At 34.5% G+C, this 27,621-nt stretch overlaps 1 protein-coding gene across 6 annotated transcripts in view, besides 1 other annotated feature; it reads right to left on the reverse strand.

Annotated features, from left to right (window-relative positions):
* Nucleotides 1-27,621, reverse strand: part of ZNF385D (zinc finger protein 385D) — a 960,546-nt gene that overhangs the window by 867,834 nt on the left and 65,091 nt on the right. The window lies entirely within an intron of this gene.
* Nucleotides 26,343-26,935: an enhancer, noted in NCBI's record as "OCT4-NANOG hESC enhancer chr3:22347885-22348477 (GRCh37/hg19 assembly coordinates)". NCBI's record gives its function as "activates a minimal SCP1, AML or CMV promoter by ChIP-STARR-seq in primed H9 embryonic stem cells {active_cell/tissue: H9 hESC(primed)}" and the evidence as "EXISTENCE:reporter gene assay evidence [ECO:0000049][PMID:30033119]".

Consider the following 27,621-nt stretch of genomic DNA (forward strand, 5'->3'; position numbering starts at 1 on the left):
TTCATGTTTGTGGTCATTTGTTTATCTTCTTTTGTGAATTGTCTATTCATGTCCTTAGCCCACTTTTTGATGGGGCTGTTTATTTCTTGCTGATTTGAGTTCCTTGTAGATTCTGGATATTAGTCCTTTGTCAGATGTATAGATTGTGAAGATTTTCTCCCACTCTATGGCTTGTCTGTGTACTCTGTTGATTGTTTCTTCTGCTGTTCAGAAGTTTTTCATTTATTTAAATCCCATCTATTTGTATTTGTTTTGTTGCCTTTGCTTTTGGGTTCTTGGTCACAAAGTCTTTGCCTAAGCCATTGTCTAGAAGGGTTTTTTTTTTTTTTACTGTTATCTGATAGAATTCTTATGGTTTCAGATCTTAAAGTCTGATCTTAAGCTGACTTTTGTAAAAGGTAAGAGAAGAGGATCCAGTTTCATTCTTCTACATGTGGCTTGCCGATTATCCCAGCACCATTTGTTGAATAGGGTGTCCTTTCCCCACTTCCTGTTTTTGTTTGCTTTGTCAAAGATCAATTGGCTGTAAGTATTTGGCTTTATTTCTGGGTTCTCCATTCGTCCCATTGGTCTATGTGCCTATTTTTATACCAGTACCATGCTGTTTTGGTGACTATAGTCTTATATAGTTTGAAGTCGGGTAATGTAATGCCTCCAGATTTGTTCTTCTTGCTTAGTCTTGCTTTAGCTATGCAGGCACTTTTTTGGGTTCATATGAATTTTATGATTATTTTTTCTAGTTCTTTGAGGAATGATTGCGGTATTTTGATTGGAATTGTATTAATTTGTAGATTGCTTTTGGCATTATGGTCATTTTCACGTATTTCCATTTGTTTGTGTTTTCTATGATTTCTTTCAGCAGTGTTTTGTGGTTTTCCTTGTAGAGGTCTTCACCTCCTTTGTTAAGTATATTCCTACATTTTTGTTTTGTTTTGTTTTTCCAGTTATTGTAAAAGGGTTCTTGAGTTCTTGATCTGATTCTCAGCTTGGTCACGGTTGTATAGTAGGGCTACTGATTTCTGTACATTCATTTTGTACCCCAAAACTTTACTGAATTCATTTATCAGCTACAGGAGCTTTTAGGATGAGTCTTTAGGGTTTTCTAGGTATATGATCCTGTCATCAGCAAACAGTGACAGTTTGACTTCCTCTTTATCAGTTTGGATACCCTTTCTTTCTTTCTCTTGTCTGACTGCTCTGGCTAGGATTTCCAGTACTATGTTGAATAGAAGTGATGAAAGTGGCCATCCTTGTCTTGATCCAGTTCTTAAAGGGAATGCTCTCAACTTTTCCCCACTCAGTATAATGTGGGCTATGGGTTTGTAATACATGGCTTTTATTACCCTAAGATATGTCCCTTCTATGCCAATTTTGCAGAGGGTTTTAATCACAAAGGGATGCTGGATTTTGTCAAAGGCTTTTTCTGTGTCTATTGAAATAATCATGTGATTTTTATTTTTAGTTCTGGTTACGTGGTATATCACATTTACTGACTTGTGGATGTTAAACCATCCCTGCGCATCCCTTGTATGAAATCCACTTGATCACAGTGGATTATCTTTTTGATAGGCTGTTGGATCAAGTTAGCTAGCATTTTTTTTTTGAGGACTTTTGCATCTATGTTCATCAGGAACACTGGTGTGTACTTTTCTTTTTTTGTTATGTCATTTCCTGGTTTTGGTGTTAGGATAATACTGGCTTCATAGAATGATTTAGGAAGGATTCCCTCTTTCTCTATCTTGTGGAATAGTGTCAATAGGATTGGTACCAATTGTTTGAATGTCTGATAGAATTTAGCTGTGAATCTGTCTGGTACTGAACATTTTTTGTTGGTGGTGGTGGTAACTTTTTAATTACCATTTCAATCTTGCTGCTTGTTATTGGTCTGTTCAGAGTTTCTATTTCCTCTTGGTTTAATCTAGGAGGGTTGTATATTTCCAGGAATTTATCCACTTCCTCTAAGTTTTCTAGTTTATGCGTGTAAAGGTGTTTATAGTAGCCTTGGACGATCCCTTGTATTTCTGTGTTATCAGTTGTAATATATCCCGTTTCATTTCTTATTGAGCTTATTTGGATCTTCCCTCCTCTTTTCTTGGTTATTCTCACTAATGGTCTATCAATTTTTTATCTTTTCAAAGAATCAGCTTTTTGTTTCATTTATCTGTTGTACTGTTTTAATTTCATTTAGTTCTGCTCTGATCTTTGTTATTTCTTTTCTTCTGCTGGGTTTGGTTTGTTCTTGTTTCTGTAGCTCCTTGAAATGTGACCTTAGATTGTCTATTTGAGCTCTTTCAGACTTTTTGATGTAAACATTTAACACTATGAACTTTCCTCTTAGCACCACTTTTGCTGTTTCTTAGAGGTTTTGATAGGTTGTGTCACTATTATCATTTAGTTCAAAGAATTTTTAAATTTCCATCTTGTTTTCATTGTTGACCCAAAGATCATTCAGGAGCAGGTTATTTAATTTCCATGTGTTTGCATAGTTTTGAGGATTCCTTTTGGAGTTGATTTCCAATTTTATTCCACTGTGGTCTGAGAGAGTATTTGCTATAATTTTGATTTTCTTAAATTTGTTGAGACTTGTTTTGGGGCCTATCATGTGATCTGTCTTGGAGAATGTTCCATGTGTTGATGAATAGAATGTAAACAAATCCTCAAAATATACCAAAATAAAATCTCCTTAAAGGGTAAATCTCACAGGACCTATAAAATTATAACACAATGAAAAAAAACACAAGGTATTCAACAAATAGCATGATGAATAGAATAGTACCTCATATCTCAATACTAATGTGGAATGTAAATGGCCTAAGTGTTCCACTTAAAAGACACAGAATGGCAGAATGGATAAGAATTCACCAATCAAGTATCTGCTATCTTCAAGAGACTCACCTGACATATAAGAACTCATAAACTTAAGGTAAAGGGGTGGACAAAGATATTCCATGCAAATGGACACCAAAAGTGAGCAGGAGTAACTATTTTTATATCAGAAAAAAAATTTTAAGGTAACAGCAGTTAAAAAAGACAAAGAGGGACCTTATATAAATGATAAAGGACTAGTCCAATAGTAAAATATCACAATCCTAAATATATATGCACATAACACTTGAGCTCCCAAATCTACAACAATTACTACTAGACCTAAGAAATGAGATAGACAGCAAACGATAGTAGTGGGGGACTTCAGTACTCCACTGACAGCTCTAGACAGGTCATCAAGATAGAAAGTCAACAAGGAAACAATGGACTTAAACTAAACCCTAGAACAAATGGACCTAACAGATATTTACAGAACATTCTACCCAACAACTGCAGAATATACATTCTATTCAATTGCTTTTTGATTCAATTTTTCCTTCTTAAATAGGAGCACAGCACAAATCTTCAAGTCAGATATGTAAGCAGATGTCCAATCAAGAATCAGTGTCCTAATCTTCCTTTCTTGCAATAATTCATGTCTCTTTCAGTTAAAGGCAATATGACTTTTCATGAGCAAAGCATCTGGATCCAGAATATATAAAGCTGAAACCAGATTCTGACATGTAATAGCTGTGTGCAGCTTTGAGCAAGATGCTGTTCTGTGCCTCAATTTGTGCATCTGAAATCACGGGTAATAGTAACTCCTATCTCAGAAGGTGGTTGTGAGAAGAAACTGAGTTAATAAATGTGTGATGTGCTCAGTCTGTTCCCTAGCACAGTGATCACCCAATACATTTTAGCTATCAAATTTTATTTGGATTCCCTGTATCTATGGGAAGGTACAATTTTCCACCCATTCTCCTCACAAGAAAGGAAGAAAGAAATCTCTTAACAGGAATAATGCATTTCTAGTGACATCTGACCCTCAAGTTCTTTTAGTTCTTTAGGAAAAAGGTAGAAAATAATGGTTAAGTTCCCATAATGGGATCTGGTGCCCCTTATTGATGCCTTTTATGATGTGGCTGGTGGCTCCCATTATGCAGTGTGGATACTTGGACATAATTACGAGACAACAAGAAAATTAACATTGGACCTCATTTTATACTTACTTGAGGCAAGATAGTACAACTGCCATTCTATATCCACCAATAAAAAGGAATCAATCTTTAAAAGCTTAAACATTATCAATAAACACAGGATTTTTGTTTGTTTGTTTGTTTTTGTTTTTGTTTTTGAGACGGAGTCTCTGTTGCTCAGGCTGGAGTGCAGTGGCGCGATCTTGGCTCACTGCAACCTTTGCCTCCCAGGTTCAAGCAATTCCTCTGCCTCAGCCTCCCAAATAGCTGGGATTACAGGAACATGCCACCACACCCGGCTATTCTTTTTTTTATTTTTAGTAGAGATGGAGTTTCACCGTGTTAGCCAGGATGGTCTCGATCTCCTGACCTTGTGATCTGCCTGCCTCGGCCTCCCAAAGTGCTGGGATTACAGGCATGAGCCACTGCACCTGTCCCCAACACAGGATTTTTTTTAATGACCCAAATCTTTTATACATCGTGCATCAATTCTAAATTGTATGGTGGACCACAGAGAAGAGTAATGTTTTAAGAACCGCTAGACACTGTGGCTGATCTTAATTTCAAAAGTACAGCTGTAACTGAAAGGCCTATTCACTGCATGTAAAATAAAGGAAAAGCAACCATAAACTAACCACACTATCCAAACACAGCCTCTTCCTACTTGAGATTCTTATTCAATGAATCATTCATTCTTATGAAAATAAATAAGATAAAATTTACAATCATAATTTAAGAATGTCAGGAGATAGGAGAAATGTATAAATTTGGTATACCTAAAAAAGAAAATCCTTTCTGAGGAAGTCTATTTTGACAGACCCAAATCATTTTAGATAAAAGGATATTTTATTGCATTAAAAGGGCAGGCAGGAAAGAAGTAGCATCAACAAATGAATGTGGAAGGATCAAGATGTGAAGGAAAATAAGCAAAGAGGAGAAAAAGTTACTGAATGAATGTTTAGTTTACTGAATAATAAGCTAAATGTTGCAGAATAATCCACTTGAAACTGGCCATATACAAGTTTAATAGAAAAAAATTGGAATTTTTCAGCATTGATTAGAGGTAGTATTTCCCTGGCAAACCAACTGAATCACCAATTTTGTTACAAAGCAAAATTAGTATTCTTAGAGAACTTATCTTCAAACAGGTTACTCTGTATGTGATTCTGAATAAACTACAATGTTTTTGGTGATAAGAGGCTCATCTGCCTCTAACCCTCCACCACATTCCTTTCTGTCTTTAACTTCATGTATCCATTTTTTAAGTAGAAAAGATCTGACTAGTTTGACTAAGTAGAAAGATTATCTATTACAAATGACAAATATTTATTTTTCATTTAGTCAGTGAGAAAGACTGAAACCATTTGAAAGTTTTGGGTTTGTGTTTTATTGACAGGATTTTTTTCTCTACTGAAAAATGTAAAATGAAGTAGGAAGAAATTTTCTATGTTGTTTTAACTGTGCACTTATTCAATAACTTTATTTATTTTTTATTATACTTTAAGTTTTAGGGTACATGTGCACAACGTGCAAGTTAGTTACATATGTATACATGTGCCATGTTGGTGTGCCGCACCCATCAACTCATCATTTAACATTAGGTATATCTCCTAATGCTCTCCCTCCCCCCTCTCCCCACCCCACAGCAGTCGCTGGTGTGTGATGTTCCCCTTCCCTAGTAGGAAGAAATTTTCTAATTAGAAATTAACATTCACTTTGTCTTCACACAAAGACGGCATCACCGTCTATGGGAATTTGTTCCCACTCAACTGACAGTGTCCCTAAAATATAGCTAGTATTAACATTACCATTTAATCCTTAAAAAGTATTTACTATAAATCTTATGCCAAACCGTATTCTGAGAAAACAGCAGTAGTTACATATAAATTCAGGTGACCTGGTCACCTAGGAGTCAACCAGATCATGATACGTCTCCACAGCATTTCTTATTAAATTTATTTTCTTGTAAAGCTATGAAATAAAGACACACAGGAAAGGTTTATAATAAACTACAGTGGTGTACAGGTAGCACTTACTCTAGTATCTCTTAATACAATGTACTCATTTTTAATAATATGTACGGTACTTACAGCATTATTTTTTATCAATCACATATAAAATCTGGCAAATATTTTGGGTTTAATATTTAAATAAGATAATTAATATTTGTCTAATTCTTCTTCTACAGTTGTGTGATGTACTAATATCCGCGCCCTCATGCAAAGCGTAAGCTAAACAAGTTTTTTCTTAGTCTATGTAACAGTCTATTAATTTTGCTTATCTTTCCAATAAACCAACTCTTAGTTCAATTAATATTTTATATTGTTTTCCTACTCTCTATTTCATTTATTTCTGCTCTGATCTTTCTAGTTTCTTCCTTCTGCTAACTTTTGGCTTAGTTTGTTCCTCTTTTCCTAGTTCTTTGAGGTATAATGTTAGATTGCTCATTTGAGATCATTCTTCTCTTTTGATGCTCATGATTGCTACTATAAAATTCCCGCTTAGCACTGTTTTTGACGCATTGCATAAGGCGATATGTGGTGTTTTCATTGTTTCAAGATATTTTTCAATTTCCCTATTACTTTCTTATTTGACTCAATAGTTGTTCAAAAGTATGTTTCATTTCCATATACTTGTAAGCTTTCCATGATTCCTCCTCTTACTGATTTCTAGTTTTGTTGCATTTTGGTCAAAAAAGATACTTCACAAAGAAATATGTTGAGACTTGTTTTGTGGCTTAACATATGATCTTTTCTGAAGAATCATCCACGTGCACATGAGAAGAATGTGTATTATTTTGTTGTTGGGTGGAATGTCCTACATGTGTTGGTTAGATCCATCTGCTGTAAAGTGTAGTCCAAGTTCAGTGTTTCTGTATTAATTTTCTGTGAGGATAATCTAACCATTGCTGAAAGTAGGATGTTGATCCCCTACAATTAATGTATTAGACTCTATCTATCCCTTCATATATTTTAATAACTTCTTTAGATATTTATGTGCTCTGATGTTGGGTACATATGTATTTACGATTGCTATATTTTGTTGGTGAAGTAACCACTTTATTATTATATAATGGCCTTCTTTTTCTTTTGTGACAGTTTTTTTACTTAAAGCTTACGTTGTCTAATATAAGTATAGCTACCTCTGCTCTCTTTTCCATTGCATAGGATATATTTTTTCACCCATTAACTTTTAGTTTATTTGTCCTCAAAGGAGAAATGAGTCTCTTAAAGTGAGCACATTGTTGAGTCTTGATTTTTTATTCATTAACTCACTCTATACTTTCTTATTGCAAATCTTAATCCATTTAAAGTAATTATTGATACAGGTAAGGATTTACTAATGTCATTTTGTTAATTTTTCTACTTGTTTGACATATCTTTGGTTCCTTTCTTCCTCTCTTGCTGTCTTTGCGGCTTAATGGTTCTCTCTAATGATATACTCTGAATCATTTTTATCTTTTGTGTACCTACTATGGGTTTTTGCTTTTTGGTTATGCTGAGGCTTACAAAAAGCACCTCATATTTATAACAGGCTATTTTAAACTAATAAAAATCTAACTTGGCATACACAAACTCTACACTTTTTCTACCCATAACCCCCAGCATTTTAGGTTTTTGATGACACAATTTACATTCCTTTATAATTTGCATCCCTCAACAAGATATTATAGCTATAATTGTTTGTAATAGTTTTTCCTTTTAGCCTTCATACTAGAAATAAGGTTAACTTACACATTGCCATTATAGTATTAGAATGTTTTAAATCTAAAAATTTATTTACTTTTATTTTGTGAGTTTTATACATTCACATGTTTTCTTTTACTAATTTGCATCCTTTTCATTCAGCTTGTAAAAATTTTGTTAGCACTTTTTGTGAGGAAGTTCAGTGGGAATAAACTCCCTTAGCTTTTGTTTGTCTGAGAAAGTCTGTATCATCTCTTCATCTTTGAAAGACAGAATTGCCTGGCATATTAATCTTGACAGGCAAGGTTTGTTTTTTTCTCTCAGTATTCTGAAATATCAAACCACTTCTTTATGATTGCAATGTTTTTGCTAAAAAAAAATCCACTAATAGTTTTACGGAAGTTTCCTTGTATGTAACAAGTAGTTCTCTTGCTGTTTTCAAAATTTTCTAATTTTGATAATTTAAAATAATGTGCCTCAGAGTGAGTATCTTTATATGCATCCTATTTAATATCTTTTGGGCTTCTTATATGTGGACTTCTATTTTCCTTCTCAGTCTTGGCAAGTATTATGCCATTATTTATTTGAGTATATTTTTGGTCTTTTCTTGATTTCTTCTCCTGGAATTCTAATAATGCATAGATGGTTTCACTTGACCGTTTCCCATAATTTTCTTAAGCCATCTTCCATCTTTCATTTATTTCTTTTTTGTTTAAGTGGATGATTTCCAGTGACCTGTCTTTGAGTTCACTGATGCCTTTTTTGCTTAATCCATCCTGCATTAGATTTTTCTATTCATTTTTTAACTTCAGTTATTATATTCTTCAGTACTATGATTTCTGTTTGGTACTTTTTATAGTTTGTCTCTTTGTTGAAATTCTCAGTTTGTTGATATTTTGCTCCCCTAACCTCAGTGAGTATTTTTATGACAGTTCTTTTGAATTCTTTGTTGGGTAAATCACATATCTCCATATCCTTATTTTTAGCATCTAAAGATTTATCTTGTTCTTTCATTTGGAACATATTTCCCTTTTTATTTTTATTGACTCTCAGTGTTGGTTTCTGTTTATTAGATGAGACAGTAGCATCCCTCAGTCCTTTTAGACTGGCCTCTTGTAAAAGAAGAACCTCACCAATCCATCCAGTCAGAGATCCTAAAGTGCCTCTCAAATCTCTGTGTTTGTCCAAACTGCTGACTCTGTTTTTAGCGGCCATCTGGAGACAAGAGTATGCCAAGTCTTGTCAGTACCTCAGAATGGGTAAGCTAGAAGCCAGTGTCTCTAGATGCAGCTGGAAAGGTTGGGGTGTTAGATGTTTGTTCTAGTTTCTTCTATCCTCAGGATAAAGCTGACAGCAGAAGACAATCTCTCACCTTCTCTACACTAAGCCTGGAAGAAGATCTGTGGAAAATGCCTGCATTCTCCTTCCTACTATACCCTTTGATTCTGGCAGAATATTTTCTGTAAATGGGTCCTCTGAATGTGTCCACCTCTTTGTTTTCTGTGATATAGGGAGACTCAAGCATGCAGAGCCTCATCAACTCCTGAATCTAGGTGGGTAGGGAGTCAATTCATTACGTGCAAGCTGTTCCATACACAATCTATTTGTGTGCTTGGTACATAGAAAAATTCCTTCCAGAGAGAATCTACAGACTTGGCTTTATCACTGGCATAAGCCAGGAAAAAAGGTTCAAGAAGTAACCAAAATCTCATTCAGTCTTCCAAAGGTTTATTGTTTCTCTACACCACTGATTCCCAAATTCAGGCTAGATAGGAGCTCAATCCTCAACCAACAGCTGAAAAACTGGGCATGCAAGCCTCTTGCAGGAAAAAACTGGGAAATGTGCATTTCAGCCCCATCTATGCACTGATTATAGGAGGTTTAGGCCTTGGGAATGCCGGTGTGCTTATTTAAAACCATCTCTTTATTCTGTAATCAAGGGAGAATCACACATGCCTAGTACGTCTCATTTCCTGGGCTAGAAGGTTTAGGATATGGTGTAGGAGCTATAAAAGTTGGGGCACTGATGCATGCACCAATGCCTTCCAGGAGTAATCGATAGACCTGGATTTACCCCTGGGATAAGCTAGGGGAAAGGTTTAGAATACACACAGCTACTGTTCAGAATCCTGGAGGTCTATAGTATGTCAGCTCAGTTAACTCTCTAATGCAGCCTTGTTAGAAGCTTGACTATAAGCAGCAGCAGTTGAAAGAGTTTGTGGAAAAAAACCCTCTATGGAAAAACTGGAAGCTTTGAGTTTTAGCCCCTTTTCTGCCTCAATCTTGAGAGAAGTCCCTGGAAGTGTGATCATGCCTATATAGAACTGCTACATTGTTTTGTGTTCTAGGGAGATTTGTGTATGCTTAGTCCATTATGCTTCCAAGGCAGGTGGATTAAGAGCCAAATTGTGAGGAAACTTAGAGTGCTACATGTGTGGCCTGAACCTTTGTCTCTTCACGGGGAAGCTGGGTGTTGGGAATTCCTTCCTTACTGGAATGGTGCTAAGATTTGTGCCTGAATGTGCCTCAGCTTTACTAACCTATTCAATATGAATGCTCTCCTCAGACCACACCACACCCAAAGACAAAAGCCTCCCAAGGAGCTAATTGTCCACCTTCAGGAGGGGTGCAGACTGATGTCAGAGAAGATAGTTCTCACTCCTCTCACCTTTTCCTCTCATTGAGAAATGTAGCCACACCACAACACAGGGTTGGAGAAGAAGCTGGGAAGGGGACATAGCAAGGATCTCTGTCACTCAAACAGTGGCCTTTCTGGCAAGGTAAACTGTTTGGCACTCATTCCCGGATGCCCAGGGCAGTGGCATTGTGCAGTATCCTGCCTAGGCTCTGGCCTCTGCCCGCCCCTCCTTCTTGTTCTGTCTGCCATGTTTCTGAGGGGCCTAGATGTTTCTTGGTCTGGCTCAATGTCTTCAACAAAGAACACTTTCCAGTCCATCAGAGATAACAGCAAACAAAAATCCAACGTGTAGGATTTTCTCAACTTGTTTATCTCAGAAGTAATTGATCTGTGTGTAGATGTTTATTTGGTGTGTTGATGGAACAGGGAGAGTCAGTAGCCTCGTATTCCATGTTGCTGATGTCATCCTACATGCGGGGGCTTTTAATGGCTCTGTAGTATCCATTTGCCAAGATTTCCTAAATTATTTCCACTAATCAATATGTATATTTTTGTGTGCTTTTCCTTGTTGTGCGGGCATGAGGAACAAGAGACTGCTCTGATACTTCTTCTTATATGGGCACTACTCCCATCAATGAAGGACTTACCTTCAAGACTTGAGCAAACCTCCATTACTTCCCAAAGGCTCCATCTAAAATACCATCCCCCTGGGGATTAAGGCTTCATCATATGAAATGGGGAGGAGGGCACAAAAATTCAGTCCATAATACTCCCTCTTCCTCTATTTACCATTACTGTTGGTTGTTACTTTCTGATTTCTCCTTCCAAATGAACTTTAAATTAGCTTTGCAGAACTGCCCCTCCAAAAAATAATGGAAACTTTCCTTGTGATTATGTTAAACATATATATTTATTGGAAGGAAAGATTATAGTGTTGTTCAACATTTAACCATCAAGACCCATTTTCTGCCCCTATGAGTTCTTGTGCTTTAAAAAATCATTTGAGTCCTACATATTTATTTATAAAATTATTTCAAGGTACATTAATTAATAGTAAATTCTTAAATGGAAAAATTTTCTGTTTAATTTTATATCCTACCATATACAAATATAATAGCTTTCCTATATATCTTTTATAATTAAGCATCTTACTGAACTTTATTTCTAATATATTTTAGTTGATTTAGTGTATTATTTGCAAACAATGATAGTTTTATACTATTCTTTACAACAGTTAAAGAAGTGTAATAATTTTATTGTTTTACTGTATTACCAAGAACTTCTAGACTTGTTTTAAATATTGTGGGGTTTATGATCTTGTGTATATTTGTTCTTTTCTTCACTTTACTAGAGATACCATAATGTGAGGTTTTATTGCAGATTTACTAATATTAAACAAGTTTTACATTCTTAGGGTTAATCCTACTTATTTATGCATTACTACTCCTTAAAATGCAAAAATTTAATGCTTTTTTATTTACAAACATGTGTACTTCAGTTTTCATATGTGAAACTGGTGAGAAATTTTCTTTTCTTCTATTATCTTTCTCTTATTTTGGTATCATAATCATGTTTTATTCATATAATCTAGAACTGGTTAATCTTCACAAAAGATAATCACATACTACAGGCTCTGTTATCTCCTGAACATATTGGATATTGGAGCCCTTCTTCTTTGACTTTTCATTTCTGCTTTTTAATTTGAGAGCTGGATGAATCTTAATGTTGGCTTTTAATTGAATAATTCTTTATTATCTAATGTACTTTCTACCACCTTTATTATTTTCAAACTTCATTACTTCGTGGGTTATCATAAACTTTTGAAGACTTCCTTTATTTTTTAAAAAAGAAATATAGAAGGTCTATCTTCTGAGCCCTAACATACATGTAAAATGTTTTTGTTGTTGCTTCAATATATGCGAAAACATGCTGTATATTTACTCATTATATTTTTATCTCGTTTCTTTAGATATTTCACCAATGTAATCTGCAATTAAGTGTTATACAAAACTCTAAGCTTTTAAGTATATTTATAAATAAAGCCATTGTAGGCTTTAATTAGTTTTTGTTTTCTGTGTTTTGGTAAGTTCTTTTTACAGGGGATAGTACTTGATCGCCCAGTACTGGCACTATTTCTAGAACTATGTGAGAGATTTTGTAGACCTCTATTTAAAGCAACATGCCCAGATAAGTTTCAAAATGAAATAATTGGAATTTCATGTTGGTTCTTTCACACGGCTAATTTAAAGATCTACAGACTTCAATAGATAAGGGAAGGAATCAGATACAAATGTGATAGTGGCATGGAGTTTTATTTCTGTAACAAGTATTTGTTTTCTGTATTTGATAGTTAGAAATATTTTTAAAATGTGCTAGAGCTCTATTCTTTTTCTGGTTTATTTGCCATTGACTTCTTATCTACTTATATTACTTTCTGGGGGCAAAATTCTATAGTGACAGAAAAAGAGAGAGAGAATTTTAAGCAGCAGCTGCTGTAATTGTCCCAGTTCCAGATCTCCAAGAGAATGCATATTTCTATTGTCCCATCCCAGATTCCTGTTTTTCCCTTTAGACATGATGCCAGTAAGTTTAACAATGTATATATATGCAACTACATGATTTATTATCTCCATTGATTTCAACAGTTACCTCAAGAAGCTGTAAGTTAGTAGTATCCAGAGGCTGTCTCATGTGTATGCTGAACATTACTGTCTTATATATAACTCAAATGCTATCTTTTCACTTATACATCATAAATCCCTCAAAAAAGCCTTCATAGAAATCCCCCAAACCTAATCCTAGTTATTATATTATTCATTTGCATGTGTCATAATAATTTCATTACTTTGGAGAGCAAGCCCCATTATTAGGGCAACCAGGAGTCAGAAATATATTGGAAACCTTTGCTACCTTTTATTAAACTCGATGTCCTTTACTCATCTCAATTAGTGATCCCATGAATTCCTAATTTAGTATCTCTCCTTCTCTCCATAAGACTTTAATAAATTATACATCTTCTTTTTAATTTAGAAACTTCAGGCATTCTCTTTCTAGCTACTAAACCTGGTACTCTTCCCTAAGCCAATAAAAGAGTCCTCTTTGTTCAATGATGCCCTCTAGCAATACTCTCCTTACAAGCTAATTATAGCAGTGTTACCTAGTGTGACATCTAGGCCCAGTATAAGCTAGGAATAAGTTCCACAGTGGATAGATAACATATTTGACATCACACATTATATTTTTTGGCAAAAGAATGCTACCTGAATATTTTCCTCAGTTGTTCCACAGCTTGGCATGACTCCCAGCTCTTACTTCCCCGTGTTGAATGTGGTTCTCAAAGACTGGCCCCAAGACCAGCAGAATCAACTTCAGCATCAGCATCACCTGGTAGCTTTCAATAAAATGAAAATAGGTTCTACTTGAAAACTACTGAATCAGTATCCCTGGAGGTGAGGCCTAGTGATCTGTTCCTGCAATCCCTCCAGGTAATTTTCATGAATGCTAAAGTTTACAAGCACTGGTCTTAGGGTTCATCTGGGGTTTCTTCTACTTCCTACATACTTGTTCATTTTACCTATGTTAAGTTTGGGATCAATGAATTTTCTTCTCCAGGCATGGTAATTCTATCTTGGCCTAGATTGCAGCATTTACTGATGCTTTTTTTTTTCTAATTGATTGTATCCTATAGAGTATTTGGAGGAGGAGGAATGTTGAATACATAATGATACTCTAAGACCATTATAAATATAACCTTAATATTGCATTATGTACCTTTGTTACAACATAGTGCTACTACAGAAAAGTGCCACTATACTGGGTAGGTATAGGAAACAAAACTGTGGCAGTAAACCCTATAAAATGGCTCTAGTTAATAGGAGGTGGATGCAGTTTTAGCTTCCCCACAATTTGCCTCTCCTATTGGTGCCTCTTTGTACAACTTCCCTCCTTAATGAGCCTCCATTATTTAGTGCTATTTTTCCTCATATTTTTCAATATCTCCTCTAATAAGAAAACTGTTCCTATGAATATACTTCTTATTTCATTAATATGTTATAATAGATGTGGGTCCACCCCCGCATATTTATCGTATATAATATATAATGGGTATTATATATCAGTATGTATTAGGGAATGTTTTTTATTTCCTTAAGATGATAATGACTGGCTAAATGGATATATTGATTTCATTTAAAATTTCAAGGCTAAAATAAATCAAATAAAAGGAAACATGAAATTCAGAGTGAAAGAGACCAGATTTGAATCCTGGTGCTGATGATTACTAACTGAGTGTTGATGAGTGTGCTACTAAATGTCTCTAAGCTTCTATGTTCTGAATTGCAAAGAAAGAAAACAAGTTAATGCAAAATACTAGCATGTTGTAAGAATTCAAAATTAATAAGCAATGTCAATGCTTAGTGGAAATTCAATATATTTTGCATTTTATAACAAAGTTACTAAATTGTAAAGCCTTAATCTGTTACCACTATTAGATATCCTTTGTGTTTAAAAGGAAAAATCAACATATTAATTCAAAGGAGTGGGAAAATTAGATATCTATTTTCCATTACAGGACCAGGGGTATAACTATCTATCTCTGTATATCTATTTATACACACACTCACACACATGTTTCACTCTAGGATTATAATTGGCTTTAAAATGTTTGTTTATGGCCCATTAATGTCTATTATTATTGGTGGGAAAATTCCAGTTTTCCTCTGAATGAAAAAGTCATCATGCTGTTAATAACTTGTTTGGAATTATATACCATAGATAACAATAAATTCTTTCTCTACATTTGAATAATAAAGTGTAAAGATTTAACAGTCTTTCAGAGGCTGTGAAAATTATAGTAAAATACTACTAAAACATTCCCAATACATTAGGACATAATTTTTGCACAAAAGATAACATTCTAGAAAAAGTTTCAATTTTTATGCAAACACATGAGATGTAGAATAGGCTATACAGCTCTCACACATGAGGGAGAGAAACTGATGACAGTGCCACCTCACATGCCTCCAAAGGCTGTGATCTGACTCCAGCCTCCTATAAGAGAATTATAACAAATTTTTTAATGCAGTAAAATAGAATAAAAAAAGTTTGCAAAGCAAAACTGGGCGTACATGTAGGTGTATGGCTCAAATAATCAGAAAGTCACAATGGGACATTCATATATGACAGCATATAAACTTAATGAAAAAAGTTTTTAATAATGAGTGGGAACTAGTCTAGGGCTGAACTAGGTAAATGAGGTGGATCTGAACCTTTGGTTGGTAGAAAAATATAAACATAAAAGAAAATCCGCCCCCTTTTGATTACTTTATATGCACACCTCATAGTCTGACTTCGGATGTTTTAGGCACAAATTTAATATTTTTTAATCTAATATTTTCCTTCACCTTCTCAGTAACAACTGATAAACTATAACCTTTGAAAGATGTGATCAGAGAAAGCTACCACCCCTGCCTCACGGCCCCTCCCAATGGCATTGTTGATCAAGAAGTACAAAGGCTAATATTTGAAAGAAACTGAGATTTCTGAAAAAAGAAACAGGAGAAAGTCGACAAGAATAGTTTATGGCAAAGGAGAAGAAAATAAATAGGAAAGTTTCATGAGAACAAATGACTGGATCACCTATAACCTTTGCATGGCCCAGGGAAAAAGTACAAGTGGAGGCCGCATACCATCTATCTAAATATCCAAAATGTAAGGTTATGAATCAATCCAATGCCATAGGTTTTAGATTATTTCATTATGATGTCACTCACTCCAGATAACACTTTCTGTTTCAAGTTATCTATTGCTACAATACTACCCTCAAAACTTATGGGCCTTAAACAATTGTGTTTGTTACTTCTTGGGATTCTACAGTTCAGGCAGGGCTTGGCAGAGACAGCTTGCCATTGCTCTGTGTGGCATTAGCGGGGATGGTTTGAACAGCTGGAGGCTGGCATAAATGAACTAGTGTCACTTGTTTGAATCATAGGTTCTTGTTGTTGGCTAGTTCCTCAGTTACTGTTTCAGCTGGGTTCTCCAGGAAGAAAATGCTAAAATGGGACTGCAAGCAGTTCTTCAAGGAAGGGTATGTCTAATGCCTATGAAAGATAAAAGAGAAGGGAAGCAGAATTGGACAGGGAACGCCTTCAGACCATGACGAAGATTTGGCACCTATGAAAGGAAAGGAGGTAGGAAACTGAATTGTACAAAGAGAACTTTTGATGGCCTGCCTCAGTTTGAACACTGAGTTAGATACTGAAGGACCTTCAGCTAGTGGTTTTCACTTGACTGCACTCCTTGCTGAATGCTGAATTCCTTCTTGAAGAGAGCATACCTCTGCAGCTGACATAGAAACCTCCATGTGGCCTCTCCCTAAGGTTAGGTTGAGTTTCCCCACAGCATAGTGTCTGTCTTGAGCATGGTGGTTGGCTTCTCTGGAGAGCAAAAGTGCAGGCTGCCAGATGTTCTTAAGCCTTAGGCCAGCAACTGGCATGGTGCCATGGCTAATGGGCCAGGCCAGACTTAAGGAGAAGAGATTATACAATAATGCAAATATCAGGATGCATAATTCATCTACCCTTGGAAATAGTAACAGTTTTGCCCTAACATTTTCAGGGCCTGAGGTACAAGTATAAGTGGAGGCCCTCATACTCCCCCTGCAATTATTTATGTGATAGATTGTATTTCTGTTATATATTGAATTAGTAAACTATTAAAACATATTGTATTCTCCTATCTTGAAAAATATAATCTCCTAAGGACCTAAAGGTCGCACTAGAATATGGTGGTACAGAAAGACTGACTTGTTCCTAGTCTCAAGCTCCCAGACTGTGACAATCAACCCCTTTATTCGCAACCCCAGATCCCCCCAATAGGACCTATCATACATATGTCTGAACACCCCAAATGACATATCCCAAATCAATCCATCTCCTCCGCCTTTCCCTTCATCTGAAAAAAGCTATCTTTTGGCCAGACCTCTGCCTTTGGGAGGACAGCCTAGGGAAAGGACTCACACAGAACCTGGAGGAATTCCAGGATTCCTCATACCTGGAGCAAAGTCTAGGCTATAGATATAGTCTATAAAGGGACAAGCCCCTTGAGCGGCAAACTTTTTACCTTATAGAGAGAAGGGGGCATGGCTGAAGTGGGGCCGGAGGAGGACTCTGCAGTGGGTAAAGTCCAGAGCAGAAGCCCCACTCATCTAGGCAATATGGGGGAATGAAATAGTTGTCTAGAGGAGTGGAGCAATGAGTAATCTGACCTCAGGCTGTTCTTTTCTTCCTACTTTCCTCTTTGAAACAGCATAATAAACAAAGCAAATACACGTGGCGAGGATTCATAACTGGGAATTTTCTTATGTAATATAGAAGAGTATATAATATATACATAAAAATAACATAAAAACCTTTAAAATGAATGGACATGACTATCTCTATTGACCTAGGAGCAAATGATATTGGGTTACATTTTAAAAGTATGTTTAAACGTACAACGCGTATTTTCATCCAATATTTACAGATATTGAAACAAATTTTAAAAATAATCTCTGCATCTATAAATATGTTTCTATAGTTTTGTTTGGGCACAGAGAAAATTAAGTAGTGGTAGTTATTGACTCATGAAACTGATCAATTTGGGGGAATATAATGATGAAGGGTAGAGGGAAGAGTATGTTTCAGAACTTCTCCTGTGTCTCTATTGCTTGATTTATTTAAACAGGCATATAATCTTCGTGCTTTAAGAAAAAAGTCAAATGAAGTTAAAATCAAAGAAAATGTAAGCTATTAAAGATAAATTTTTAAAAGGTTGCTAAGAATTTCAAAAGACACACAGTAGTCAAAGAGAATAAAGATTCAGGAAAGGTCATATGATTAGTCATAAGTCATAAGGTGACTTAAAGGTTACTGTACAATGTTCCATTTAAAACAAAGTGAGGATGGGAGGTTGACTGAGACTTTAACAGCAAAGGAGGAGAAGAGGAGAAAGCAGTATGTATGTGTGTGTGTGTGTGTGTGTATATATATGTAAAATAAAAACATTTATATATAATATATAAATATACATAAAATATTTATATATAATATATAAATATACATAAAACATTTATATATAATATATAAATATACATAAAACATTTATATATAATATATATACATAAAACATTTATGTATATACACACATACACACACACACACATATATGTATGTGACTATCCACAGCTCCCTCTCAACATGTTACATCTGTGGTTCTCAAGCTAAATTCTGTGGAAAATATTTTGAATATAAATGGGTATGCCTAAAATTAAAGATAAATAGAAAACAACAAAAACCAAAAAAAAAAAATAAAATGATCTAATTTCCATTTTGGAGATTTCATTTTCTTACCATTAAAATGATAAAAAACACTCTTAGAATCAATAAATAAATTGTTTATCTTTATTTAATGCAAAGTTTCTTGAATATACTTAGCCATGGACTTGTGCTCTTTTATTTTCTCACCAAATTCATATAATGATGACTGTATTATATTACACAGTTCTTAAAAAAGAATTGCAACATTATTTGATTCCAATTAATTCTAAGAAATGATTTGGCAGAGAGGATACAGGCTGGATTGAGGTCCTTTTATGATTACAATATATCACAGAGTAGTTTTTAACACAATTCAAATTTTGTGAGCTTGTGTCAGGAGAATGCCAATAATAAACTGCCATTTCTTCCCAAGTTGCTTTCAGGTTTCACTGTATCTGTAAAAACTAAAGAGGCTGCTGGTGACTTTAGTAACCAATAAGATGACAAATATTGCTATACTGGTTTGCTATGGAAATGACTATCAGTTCTTTTAAGATTATAATTTATATAATGATTATAGCTATTGTAATATAGGTATACCAATTGAACAAAAAAGAACAAGTAAAATTAAAGAAATGCACTCTTAAATAAAACACTTTAGGTTATTTTTGTAACTTTACTCTAGGCCCTGAGGAACTTGCATGCTGAATATTTTTCCTACCAAAAGAAAGATTATACTACACGGGGGGAATGGAGGAATATATATAAGTAACTATAAAACAAATCATAATTTGAAAAAAAGAAAACAAAAGTAAAACATTCTATAAAAATACCAATGAACATCCAAATTGGATAGTAAGAAGTTCCTGTTTGTGAACAACATGATCTTACAAATAGAAAACCCTGAAGACTTCACTAGAAAACTGTTAGAACTAATAAATGAATTCTGTAAAGTTTCAGGATAGAAAATCAACATACAAAATCAGTAGCTTATCTATACACTAATAACAAACTCTCTGAAAAAGAAAACGATCCCATTTAAAATAGTTATAAAAAATAGTAAAATTCTTAGGAATAAATTTAACCAAAGCAGTAAAAGACCTGTACACTGAAAACTGTAAAATATTGATAAAAGACATTAAAGAACACAAATAAATGGAAAGATAACCTGTGTCCGTAGATTAGAAAAAAATATTGTTGCTAAAATGTTCATATACCCAAAGCAATCTACAAATTTAATGCAATACTTATCAAAATTTCAATGACATTTCTCACAGAAATAAAATATCTAAAATTCATATGGAACCACAAAAGACCCCAAAGAGCCAAAGCAATCTTGAGCACAAAGAACAAAGCTGGAGGTACCACATGACTTGACTTTAAAATATACTATAAAGCTATAGTAATCAAAACAGCATGGTACTGGCATAAAAACCAACACATAGACCAATGGAATAGAATAGAAAGCCCAGAAATTCATGCATTTAAGGCCAATTGATTTTTGACAAAATGTACCAAGAATGTACAATGGGGAAAGAACAGTCTCATCAATAAATGTTGTTGAGAAAACTGGATTTTTGCATGCAGAATGAAATTGGGCCATATATTAAAAATCAACTCAAAATAGATTAAAGACTTAAGTGTAAAGCCAGAGACTATAAAACTGCTAGAAGAAAACAGGGGTACAATTTCCTGACATTGATTGGTCTGGGCAATGATTTTTTTTTTTTTTGGATATAACCCCAAAAGCACAGACAACAACAGGTAAATGAGATGATATCAAAGTAAAATCTTCTGTACAGCAAAGAGAACAATCAACAGAGAAGAGACAACCTATAGATGACCACAGAATAATCTGCAAACTATTCATCTGAAAAGAAGTTAGCACCCAACATATATAACAAACTCAACAATTCAATAGCAAGAAAACAAATAACCCAATTTATAAATGGGTAAAGGATAGAAATAGACATTTTTCTAAAGAAGGCATACAAATGACCAACAGGTACATTAAAAACGTTCAATATCACTAATCACTTGTGAAATGAAAATTAAAACCACAATGAACTGTCACTTCACACATGTTAGAATAGCTATTATCAAAAAGACAAAAGATAAAAGTTGGTAATAACATGGAAAAAAGGGAATCCATGTGCAATTTTGATGGGAATATAAATTAGTATAGCCATTATGAAAAACAGTATGGAGTTTCCTCAAAAAATTAAACATAGAACTACCATATGCTCCTCCAATACTACTACTGGGTATATATCCAAAGGAATTGAAATCAGTTTGTCAAAGAGACATCTGTATTCCCATGTTCTTTGCAGATGTACTCACAATAGCCAAGATACAGAAACAACCTAGGTGTCATTCAACGTAATAAAGAAAACGTGTTCTACATAGACACAGTGTAATATTATGCAGCCCTTAAGAAGAAGGAAATCCTGTCATTTGAGACAACAGAGATGAACCTGGAGGTCGTTTGTTAAGCGAAATAAGCTGGGCACTGAAAGACAACTACTGCATGACCTCACTTATATATGGAATCTTAAGAAGTTGGACTCACAGAAACAAAGAGGAAAATGGTGGTTACAAGGATTGGAGTTTGGGGTGGAGCCAAAGGTTTGGGAGATGTTGGTCAAATAATACAAGATTTCAGTTACATAAGAACAATAAGTCCATTTCACAAGATGGTGACTATAGTTAATAACAATGTATTGTATTCTTAAAAATTGCGAGGTGAGTGAATTTTAAGTCTTCTCACCACAAAGGAATAAGTATGTACAGTAATGCATATTTGATCAGATTTAGTCATTCCCTAATGTATATATATTTCAAAACATCATATTGTACACAATATATATAATTTTGTCAATTAAAATATATTTTTTAAATGCCCATAAAGTCAAATTATGTTAGGAGGTAAAAACGTTCAGACATACAAAAACGGTAAAGAAAAAAGTCTAGGTACTTACCAACAGGCTTAAGTGGTAAAATATTACAAAGATAGTTGAATCCTCTACCCTAGCACATTTCTTACCCTTGTGTCTGCAGGAAGCCATTATGAATTTGTGGTTTATCATTTCAAGCTACTGCATGTGAACTTGGCATTATATAGAAATACATGTTATGCAGCAATATATATAACTATTGTCCTGTTGATTTTTAAAATTATGTAGACAGTATCATACTGCATGTATTCTCTGCTTTTTGTTATTCTTTGTAGTATATTGTGGTTTGAAATTTTCTATACCGATGCATGTATTTCTTCTTCATATTGTTTCACTGTGTGTATATCCTTTTTAATCCAGAGTGCACACTTCATTTTTTCATTTTCCTATTTACTGACATTTATATTGTTTCCATGTTTATACTTTGCAAACTATGCTCTTATGAAATTTCTTGTGCTTGTCTCCTTATGCACACAGCATGAGAATATTTATAAACTGTACAGCTGGATTCACACTTCCAGAATGCAGGGATGCAGATTTTCAATCTTAGTATCCTCTCTTGACAAATTTATCTCTAAACTTTTAAAATAAATTTTCGCTAACCACCAGCTACCTAGGATGGGTCCTGGGACTCCACATCTTCATCAACACTTAGTATTTCCACAGTATTAAATTTTTTATTTCCAATTTCTGTGTATGAGTTAGTTTCTCATTGTGATTTTAATATGCTTTTCTATCAATGAATAGTAAAATTATATATATATATACATTATATAATTGTATTGGTATATGCAATTTATTTTCCTCTTCTGTGAATGTCCTGTTCCTACTCACTGATCTGTAATTTCCCATTATGATATGTACAGTTTATATTTATGCTTGGGTCTGTCCTTAGTGTAAACAGTACAGTATTATAACACTTACTCTAGATTTGCAAACTCTTTTGGCTATTCTTTTGTTTTTGCTCTCCTATTAAAATTAAGAATAAAATTTTCAATTCAGATGGGATAGCTTTGTTGGGCTTTTAATGGTATTCTATGGAATTTTTAGATAGAGATAATTAAGATAACTACCATTTTAGATATTGTATTCTTGCACATGGCTTTATCTGTATACATTTTCTAATATTGTTCCAATTAGTTTTAATGTTACTTTGAAAGGCCTCACATGTCTTTCATTAAATTTATTCTTAGTTACGTAAGATTTGTATTTTTATTTTAAATCAAATATTTACATTTTTGTTTTATTTCTCTAGCTAAAGAAATATAAAATGTCTTTTAGTAATGATGACAGGGAGTTTTCATCTGTTCTTAGTTTCATAAGAGTTTTAATCATAGAAACGTGTAAAATTTTAACTAATTTTCTAATTTCAAAATTTGAAAGATGATAGTTCATCTTTTTTGTTAATGTTGTTAATTGCATTCTGCTAGGATAACATAATTGGTGCATACTAATTATTTGATGATTATCAAGAAACTGCCATTTTCCATCCAATCTCCATTCCATTGTTCAATGATAATAATATCGTTGGCTGCACATGTTGCCTAGAATGAAGACAAAATATCCAGCCTCTCTTGCAGCTACATGTATTGTGTGTTTTAGTAGAGTGGCTTATATGGTACTGTCTTACTTCACAGTAAACTGGTTTACCCCATTGTCAATGAGATTTCCCATCTTGCACATAGGCTGGGTCTTGTCTCCTGCCACTACTCTTCTCATAAACATATGGCCTGTCTCTTGCCACTACTCTGTTCCCATAAACATATGGCCTTTGAAAGGAAAAGTCCTAGCCATCAGGAACCTGCTTGTGTGCCAAGGAGAGGTATTTGCTTTACAACTGGTTCACTTATCTTGCCTCCTTTCTTTTTAGTTTATGAGGATTTTACTTTTTTATCAGCTTGTCTATGTATTCTAAATGATGTTTAAAACATATTCTATACTGCAGCTTTTTGTTTTCCTTTGCTTTTCTGTGCCAGGAGAGTTCCATCAGTTTACCCACTAAACCATATTGCTATAATTAAAATCAAACCGGTGATTTGACTTTTTATGTTGTATATACGTTTACGGTATATGTTTAATGTAAAAAATCATATGCTCTCAATAATTTTATTTCCTCATTCTGAGTGTTTTTGGCATTTACTTCTGTTTCCTTTTCTTTTTTTTCTTTTCTGAGATGGAGTTTTGCTCTTGTTGCCCAGGATAGAGTGCAATGGCGCAATCTTGGCTCACTGCAAACTCCATCTCCGAGGTTCAAGCGATTCTTCTGCTTCAGCCTCCCAAGCAGTTGGGATTATAGGCATGTGCCACCACGCCCGGCTAATTTTTGTATTTTTAGTAGAGACAGGGTTTCACCATGTTGGCCAGGCTGGTCTCGAACTCCTGACCTCAGGTAAGCCGCCCACCTCGGCCTCCCAGTGTTGGGATTACAGGCGTGAGTCACCATGCCTGGTCTCTGTTTCCTTTTAACTGCATAAAGCTTCAACTATAATTCTTAATAAAAATCTGGCTTAGGTCTATTGCATAGATCTTCAAGTGTAATTTTTAATAAAGAGCAAGTTTCTTCTTGTTTTCTCTAAAGAATATCCCTGTATGCATTTTCTAATTAGGTATGATATTTTAATCAGAAATGTGTTTTGAATATTGAGAACATTACACTTTATGATTTAATAGATATGTTGAAGTCAAAATCTTGCTGTTCCTGATTTATATTCTATTGAATTCAAATTGCTTATATTTAAGATTCTTGAATCTATGTATTTTAGCAGATATTGACATGCAAATTTTATTTTTTGCTATTAATTTCAATGCTGTGTGAAAATTGTAAGGTATATTAGAGACTTTTCCCTTTACGTGTTACACATTTTAAAACAAATAACCATCAAATCTATCTGAGGCCAGGGCCCTTGTTGGAAATAATTATTTGAAATATTTTTAATATCTTCTATGGTTAGTGATATAATCATGCTTCCCACTTTTTCCAGCACCAATTTTGATAATTTATCTTTTCTTGGACAATGATTACCATATAATGAGGTTTCCAACTACATCTGGTATTTTCTTTTCTTAAAAATGTCATATCAATTTAATGGCTAAAATATTTTTGTTGCTTATGTTGAATATTTCTTAAATTCTCTCTTCACACAATCAGGCATATAAGAACTATTTTTCATTTTGTAATTCTTTATCAGTGCCACTACTTGCTTTCCCCTATTTCAATTAATGTCTCCTTTAGCAGTTGCCAAATAGGGTACTTTGTTTCATTATAGTGAAATCATTAATTCATTTATTTTCCTTATTTCTTTTTATGATTAAAGCATTAAGTGCTTAGTACAGTATTATTTCTATTTTTCTACAGTGTCAATTTTGCTTTTTATTATATCCAATAAAAATTTCCATTTCACTTTTGCATTTTTAATCTCCAAATATTTTTCCTTATCTCATCCAGTTCTCTTTTAATCTCAGCTTTCGTCTTAGGTACCTTCCTTTAATCTTTCTTATTACTTTATTTTTTGTAATCTCTTTATTCACGAATTACTCGCTTATTAGATTTTATTGAGAACAAAAGCAGATGGTTTCTAAATGTATATGTAATCCTATTTCTTTCTCCTATTTATCTCCTTAACATTTATCTGCTACTAGAGTAGTATGCTACTTTTTTGTTGTTTCAGATTATTTTTCGTAGCTTCTAGGTTTTTTAAAAAATTCTTTATTTAAATTCACTCATCCTTGCATGAATACTAGACTTAATAGTTCTTGGGATTACTAACTACATCAATCTGGTTACTATGCAGTGACAAACAACCTCAAAATCTCAGTGGCTTAAAGCAGTAGGAGTTGACTTCTTGCTCCTAACTCATGTTCACATTACAGTCAGCGTTGGGCTCTGCTTCATGTCATCTTCCCCGTGTCTCAGGCTGATGCAGCCTCTACCTCCTGGAGCATCATCATTTGCCATAGCACAGGAAAAAGAGTATGGTGAATGACCACACCAACTCTTAAGAACTTGTGCCCAGAGATGATAGAGATGATGCATGTCACTGCTGATCCTTCATTGGCCTAAGCAAGTCACACGGCCACAACTAACTTCAAGGAGCCTAGGAAGTATATTTCTACCATGTGCTCAGTAAAAGTAGAGAACTAAAAATACTCATGAACAACCAATGATTACTACACTAATTAACAGGGCAGTTATATTCTCTTAAATGTTGTTACTGTTCACCTGTGTGTTGTTACAATTGTTTTGTTTGGTCTTAAACTAGAGGGAAATTGTCAAACAGTTTCTAAATATTCTGTGTAGCACTACCTTCCTAGGTTAGCACTAATTTTTCTAGTACGATTCTGTTGAACTGAAGGAAGGTTTTCCTATCACTCCTTTTAGCTGTTTCTCCTTGGAGGGCAAATGCTGCCTACCAAAATTTGAAAAATGTCTATAGCTTGTTTCCTTGTGGAAGGGCAAGAAAACTACAAAAGTCAGAATTCTCTTTCGTATTTTCTTCTTCTTAATTTGAGTTATTCTGCTTGCATAGTGATGGGGGTGGTGATGAGGATAAATTGCCCTTGACTACCTTAGAATGCAATTTTCATGAGGATGAATTTGACAGCGGTGTCAGGGAGAAGCCTAATCTTCTGGTTTTTCTGGCAAGTGAAGCTTCTCAGACTCTTGTCTAATGGATATAAAATAGGGTAAACCTTTCTCTGTCTTGTGGTTAAAAAAAGTCTTTTTTTTTTCTTTCCCAGACCCTGGAGCATACTTCATTTGTTTTCCTCCAGGAGAATGTCATATTATTAAGTTGATATTCTTATTTACTGAAGCTGGTCTATTTTCATCTCTTCTGTTTTAGCTGTCCAATAATAGTTCTACAATAATAGAGAAAGAACTATGGCTCCATTAAATAACAACCTTCATAATCAAGAGAACAAGACACTGCCGTCTATGCAGTGGGAGAAGGAGGGCAATCATGCTAAGGCTGACCAGGAAGAAGTCGCTGTAGCCAGGTGAGGGAGGATTTGAATGAGAGGGAAATACTCGCTATGTTTCTTCTTCTGATATGGCTGCAATGTAAGGTGAATTAGCATGAGAATTGTCAGAGAGTTGGAGAGATAAGATTTGCTAATTAGCTGGGTATGGAGTAAGGGAGGAATGAACTCAGCTTTCCAGGCTAGGCTTACTGGATTTGTACAAAGGAGAGGTTTAGATATAAAGATAATGAGATAAATGTTAGATATTATATCCCAGAAGAACTACCCCTGTACTCAAGACAGCTGCGCTTTGAAGAGCGAAAAACATAAAACACAGTCCCAGAAATAAATACAAGGCTGTTTAAATGTTCTCAGAAGTTCTGCCTACACATGCATTAGAGTTTCAAGAAGGTAACATAATACCCCATTGATGGCTCTGTAGAGGGGATTTACTCTGAAATTCACATAGAGAAACAACTTTTTTATTCCTCTGAAAACTAGGGTTAAACTACAGGAATAGTCCCAAAGTTTCTGCGCCCTAAAAGGAGTTGAATCCTAAAAAGGGGAGCAGACAATAAGTGCAATACCAATGAAATTGACTCAGAAAAGCCCTGGTGGGGTGGGGAGGTGGGAAGTGTTTGAGAGTCAGTTTAATTGGAACAGGCAGAACAAGAAAGCTAGGAATGAAGATAAGTCTGCAATGATAGATTAGAGTCATAATGGAGAAATCTTTGAATGCCACAATGAAGACTCTAAATAGTGTAAGTAATAAGAGTTTTAATCACAGAATTGAAGTTTAAGAGAGCCATTGGACTAGAGATGTGCATTTTAGAAAGCTTCATGATAGCAGTGGTTTAAAGTTATATCCACATGGAAATAAGAATTGAAGGCATAAGAAAAAACATGGTTATTTGGAGAATAAATAAGTACTTGTGTGTGTGCACACGTACACATGCCATTTCTCCAACCACATCCATGTAACACATATGGTATTTTGGGAAAATCATAACACAAATGGACTATGGTGGACTACTCAGCTACTCATAGATTAGGAATATGCCTGTGTGTTGACCTAGTGGCAAGAGGTAA

The sequence above is a fragment of the Homo sapiens genome, chromosome 3, assembly GCF_000001405.40.
Source record: "Homo sapiens chromosome 3, GRCh38.p14 Primary Assembly".
Taxonomy (NCBI): domain Eukaryota; kingdom Metazoa; phylum Chordata; class Mammalia; order Primates; family Hominidae; genus Homo; species Homo sapiens.